The sequence below is a fragment of the Homo sapiens genome, chromosome 6 (genome assembly GCF_000001405.40).
Source record: "Homo sapiens chromosome 6, GRCh38.p14 Primary Assembly".
Classification (NCBI taxonomy): Eukaryota; Metazoa; Chordata; class Mammalia; order Primates; family Hominidae; genus Homo; species Homo sapiens.
In genome coordinates, this window is record NC_000006.12 from 29,081,135 (window position 1) to 29,087,313 (window position 6,179).

The 6,179-nt window shown below is 40.8% G+C and overlaps 1 protein-coding gene across 1 annotated transcript; it reads right to left on the reverse strand.

The window, feature by feature from the left end:
* Positions 1 to 5,073: 5,073 nt before the first annotated feature.
* Positions 5,074 to 6,179, reverse strand: OR2B3 (olfactory receptor family 2 subfamily B member 3). The gene has a single exon (NM_001005226.2). The coding sequence runs from the start codon at positions 6,112 to 6,114 to the stop codon at positions 5,173 to 5,175; it is 942 nt and encodes a 313-aa protein (NP_001005226.1). The 5' UTR covers positions 6,115 to 6,179; the 3' UTR covers positions 5,074 to 5,172.

Here is a 6,179-nt window from a genome sequence, read left to right on the forward strand (position 1 = left end):
TTAAAATGTCTTCCCAGAAGTTAAACAATCACTGTAACCACTGGGCAGTTCTTGTGAGGCGTTCCAAATGTGAGTTTGGAAATGTCCCTATATCCCACTCATTGAAAAGTAGCTCCTCCATCCATTGTTCTTCATAACCCTCGGGTTCCACTCAGTTGTTAGGTTCATTATCTGCCTTCTAAGTTATTGCAGGTGATAGTTTATGAAATGTTTCCTTATTGTATAACATGGATCACTTTATCTCCCTTCCTCCCTCCCTCCCTTCCTCCCTCCCTTCTCTTTTTCCTTCCTTCCTTCCTTCCTTCCTTCCCTTTTTCCTTCCTTCCTTCCCTTTTTTTTCTTCTTTCCCTTCCCTCCCTCCCTCTCTCTTTCTCTTTCTTTTCTTTCCTTTCTCTCTTTCTTTCTTTCTCTTTCTTTTCTTTCTTTTTTCTCCTCTTTCTTTCACCCTCCCTGTCTTTCTTTCTTCTTTCTTTCTTTTTCTTTCTTTCTCTCTTTCTTCTCTTTCTTTCTTTTTTTTGAGACAGGGTCTTCTCTGTCTGTACTCTGCAGTGGTGTGATCTTGGCTCCCTGCTGCCTTAACCTCCCAGGCTCAGGTGATCCTTCTGCCTCAGCATCCCCTAGTAGCTGGGACTACAAGTGTTTGCTCCTACACCCAATGAATTTTTGTATTTTTTTAGAGATGAGTTTTCACTACTTTGCTCAGGCTTGTCTTGAACTCCTGAGCTCAGGCAATCTGCCCACCTTGGCCTCCCAAAGTGCTGGGATTACAGGTGTGAGCCACCAAACCTGGCACCATAATTTCAATCTCTCTCATTTTTTATTAGACTTTTACTTTAGGTTCAGGGGTACATGTGCAGGTTTGTTACGTAGGTAAATCGTATTTCATAGGGTTTGTTGTATAGACTATTTCACCACCCAGGTGATAAGCATAGTATATGATAGGTAGTTTTTTAGTCCTTAAAAAACTAAACCACCCTCAAGTAGGCCTCAGAGTCTACTTTTCCCTTCTTTGTGTTCATGTGTACTCAGTGTTTAGTTCTCACTTATGAATGAGAGTGTGAGGTATTTGGTTTTCTGTGCCTACGTTACTTTGCTTAAGAAAATGGTCTTCAGCTCCATCCATGTTCCTGCAAAAGGCATCATCTAATTCTTTTTCTGTGGCTGCTTAGTATTCCATGGTGTATATGTAGCACATTTTCTTTAGCCAGTCTACCCCAGGAGAGGCCGGCAGACAAGGGAGCACTCAGATTAGACTGGTCCCATCCCACAGGTAAGATAGCCCTGCTCCGTTCAGGTCTGGCAGTTACCATAGGCTGAGACCACCTAGAGGAGCATGGTGAGCTTTGGGGGAATGGGCGTCTCTGGCCATGCTCCACTGCAGCCGTTCCTGTGTCAGACCCTCTGGGCTTTTCACAGGCTGAAGTCCTGTCCTTGCCACCTTTCCAAATAGCTCTCCCTGCCAGCTCAAGTGTCCGCGGGGTCATGGGGTCTCCTGCAGTTGGGATTCTGGAGGTCTGTGGCGAGAGTGGCCACTCCTCGTGTGTTCAACGGACCTCTTCCCCAGGAGTCACTGCGGGCCAAGAACATGGGCCAGAAACGAGTCCGGGTACTCTGCAACTCCGTGCAAAGTTCCGAGGTTTCTCACCCTCCAGCCCAGGTTCTATGTCCTCCCTCTGTCCACCCTCAATGCCTTCCCTCCGAAGATCGGCTCGGAGTATGCCAGTCTTCCTGATATCCTGGTCTGTTGTGGAAGATGTTCTTCCTGGCTGTGTCACTGACCATCTTGGCCCCTCTCAGTTTCAAGCTTTACTATCATATCCCTCATCATCTGCCATGTGATCCTTTTGCCAGTGCCTCATATTTTAATTTCCTAACATTTGTTTCAGGCTGATTGAGAACCTACCTGGAACATTGTTTTGATTGCCAGAGGGAAAGAGAACATGGCAGAGTATGTACTAGATTTTGAAGTCATCAAAAAATAACCCACATCATTTCTCTTCACATTTTATTGGCAAATCATATTAAACAGCCAGGTCTGCATTCGATAGGACAGGGATGTGCAATTTTACCATCTGCCTAGAAGGGGAGAAAAAATAAAATATTTATAAACATTCCTAATGTATTCAATTTATGAAAAATACTCTACTTTCAAAATACTCAAGGAAATAACAAATAGGAACTTGATAATGTTTCTGCTTCTAAAATTGGCATATTCATCAAAAGATGAAACTCTCAGAGTTTGCAAAAGCTCGTGAAGCAACCATTCTCATTTGCTATATACAGTGATCTATCTGGGAATGTGGAATGTTATAAAATTTCTACAGCACAATTTGACCATATCTATTAACTCTTAGATCTTCTAAGAAATTTATAATTAGAGCCAGTAATTCAGTTTTTCAGAATATAAACTGACATTTAGACACAAATTCATATTGAATTATTGGCAGTAGTAGTAACAATAATCAAAACAAGGAGTGTAAATATGCTCAACAATAGGAAAGTGGTTAAATAGATTTTAATACACTTCCTTGGTGAAATTAAATTTGCAGCTTTTTTTTTTTTTTTTTTTTTTTTGAGATGGAGTCTCGCTCTGTCGCCCAGGCTGGAGTGCAGTGGCGCAATCTCGGCTCACTGCAAACTCCGCCTCCTGGGTTCACGCCATTCTCCTGCCTCAGCCTCCCGAGTAGCTGGGACTACAGGCGCCTGCCACCATGCCCGGCTATTTTTTTGTATTTTTAGTAGAGACGGGGTTTCACCGTGTTATCCAGGATGATCTCGATCTCCTGACCTCGTGATCCACCCGCCTCGGCCTCCCAAAGTGCTGGGATTACAGGTGTGAGCCACCATGCCCGGCCCAATTTGCAGCTATTTCAATTATGTTTTAAATACCAGAAAACATAGGAATATTTTCTGATATAATGCACACGAAAAAACGCAAACTCCGCTGGTAGTGAGTTGGGAGAAGTGCATAAAGGTAGATTGGGTAACAACAGAGATCCAGGTAAAAGGTGGATCCCTTTGTGTTCTTTCATTTTTTGTGTTTTCTGAAGATATGATCGATATAGGAAAAATGATTCCCATTAACATTTCTATAATTAGCTCTATAATTAAGGGGTCATTCCACATGCCTGAGGTAGAACTTGGGACAAATATGGAATTTGACAAAAGGGAAAAACAAGGAGAAATGCTATCCAGGGGAATAAAGAGATGAATTGAAATAGAATTTGAAATAAAACTCAACAGACATTTCTTCAGTCTCTTCTTTTTCCACTTATTTGAAATGTCATCTAAATATTATTATAGTTATATATAATATAATTGTAATTGTATATAAGATAATTATAATTATATAATATAATTATATATAATATAATAATATATAATATAATAATATATAATATAATTATATATAATATATCATTATCATAATTATATGTGATATAGAACTATATATAATATATAATTATATTACATCGTCAACCTCATCTTGCCTGGTTTTGTATTGTTTAACTGCTAAATTACTTGTAATGATGAAATGCTTTGTTTTGTAAAGCTTTCTCTGTTGCCTGAAATGTTGCCTCATCTGTGTCCTTACATTACTAACTGTAAACCATCATTTAAATGTCTCAGTTTAAGAATCATTGCCTTCTGGAACTAGCACATTTCTTCAGCAGAGGAACTGTGATATTTCTCCTCTGGACTACTGCTGTCTTGTGAACAATAAATGTTTATTGAATGACTACCACAGATAAAGAGTAAGCTAATTCAGGTCAATATGAGAAAAAAGGATTCCCATTAACATTTCTATAATTAGCTCTATAATTTAGAAAAGATGCCACATACCTGAGGTAGAACTTGGGACAAATAAGGAATTTAACAAAAGGGAAGAAAGGATAAATGCTATCCGGAGGAATAAAGAGATGAATTGAAAATAGAATTTGAAATAAAACTCAACTGACATTTAAGGTTTCCAGATTGAGATGCACACACTTAGCTGGTTTAAAACCAGCTAGATTGGTTGGGTGCAGTGGCTCATGCCTGTAATCCCAGCAATTTAGGAGGCTGAGATGGGTGGAGCACCTGAGGTCAGGAGTTCGAGACCAGCCTGGCCAACACAAAGAAACCCCGTTTCTACTAAAAATACAAAAAATTAGCTGGGCATGGTGGCGGGCATCCGTAATCCCAGCTACTTGGAAGGCTGAAGCAGGAGAATCACTTGAACCCAGGAGGTGGAGGTTGCAGTGAGCTGAGATCGTGCCATTGCATTCCAGCCTGGGCAACAAGAGTAAAATTCATTCTCAAACAAAACAAAAACAAAGCCAGCTAGATTGAAGCCAAATTACATACCAAAAACAGTTCTGAAAAGGTGCATATGATGAATTTTATCAAGAGATCAGAGGGTTCAAAGTGTTTGAAGACTTTGATTCTGATGGAATAATTTTTGGCTTGGAATAACTGGTAATTTAATTATAAGGATATTAAAATCCCTAACTAAAGGCGTAGACAGGATGGTTATAGAATAATAGTATACAAGTGGAAGGCAATCCATCAAAGTCTCCTGACTACCCTGAAGTTGATAGGAAATTGACATGACTTGTCTCAAGGAACAGAGTACATTGGGGGAACTTCTGAAAAGAAAGGAGTTTCTAACTTTGAAGACATGTCATATGGGTTCAGCATTGCTTCCTAAACAGAAGAAGACTTTTCTTTCTTTCCTTTTTTTTTTTTTTTTTTTTTTTTTTTCCTGAGACAGATTCCTACTCTGTCACCCACGCTGGAGTGAGTGGCGCGATCTGGGCTAACTGCAACTTCTGACTCCTGGGTTCAAGCGATTCTCTTGCCCCAGCCTCCTGAGTATCTGGGATTACAGGCGTGTACCACCATGCCCTGCTAATTTTTTTGTACTTTTAGTAGAGATGGGGTTTCGCCATGTTGGCCAGGCTGGTCTCGAACTCCTGACCTCATGTGATCTGCCCACCTTGGCCCCCACAAAGTACTGGGATTACAGGCGTGAACCACCGCGCCCAGCCAACAGAGGAAGGATTTTCTAATTGTTGACAGAATTTAGTGAAATCACCAGAGCCTGGAAAATAGGAAAATGAGTTCAAAGGTCATTACCATCATTGAAGATAAGGAAAGACTAAGAAGATTCTCATCACAATGGAGTACTTCTTATTTCTTACAGAAAAAGATTCTTGGCATCAGCCTCTTGAAGGCCTCCTTCATATCTTTATTTCTAAGGCTGTAGATGAGGGAGTTCAACATGGATGTGATGATTCCATAGAAGAGGGAAACCATCTTTCCCCAGTCCTTAGAGGTGGATGAAGGTGGTTGAAGATACATATAAATGGCTGTTCCATAAAAGAGGGACACCACAATCATGTGGGACCCACATGTCCCAAATGCTTTTTGCCGTCCTTCTGCTGACCTGATTTTTAATACTGCTTGAGCTATGAAGCCATAGGAGATGAGGATCAATGTCACTGGAATTAGAAGAATTAGTACACTAAAGAAGAAGAGCTCAGCCTCAATAGGCTTTGTGTCAGCACATGACAACTTGAGAAGTGCAGGCACCTCACAGAAAAAGTGGTCCACTTCCTGGTGACCACAGCGTGGCATGTTAAGAGTCAAGGAAGACTGCAGCACTGAGTTGCCGAAACCAATGAGCCATGAGAAGGCTGCCATCCTTAGGCAGAACCAATAATTCATGATGACTACATAGTGGAGGGGTCTGCAAACAGCCACATATCTGTCAAAGGACATAACAGCCAGAAGGAGACACTCTGTAGCACCTAGGGCCAGGAAGATGATGAGGTGGGCCACACAGCCAGCATAGCTGATGGTCTTTTTGTTGCAACCAATATTTACCAACATATGAGGGACTGTAGTTGTGGTATAGCAGAGATCTAAGATGGAGAGATTAGTGAGAAAGAAATACATGGGAGTATGAAGTTTGGGATCCAGAATGCACACCATCATGATGGACACATTGCCAAATATGGTGATTGTGTATGATATTAACAGGACCACAAAAAGGGGCATTTGTAGCCAAGCCCTATCTGAGAAGCCAAGTAGTATAAACTCTTTTGGGGAGCTCTCATTTTCCCAATTCATGATGACTCACTTATTTCGCACTCCTAAAAAAATGTAAGATAGGAAAGCAATCAATGTTTGTTTAT

Bases quoted from the DNA above. Each gene is read 5' to 3' on its own strand.
- OR2B3 (NM_001005226.2), bottom strand. From the start codon at position 6,114: ATGAATTGGGAAAATGAGAGCTCCCCAAAAGAGTTTATACTACTTGGC.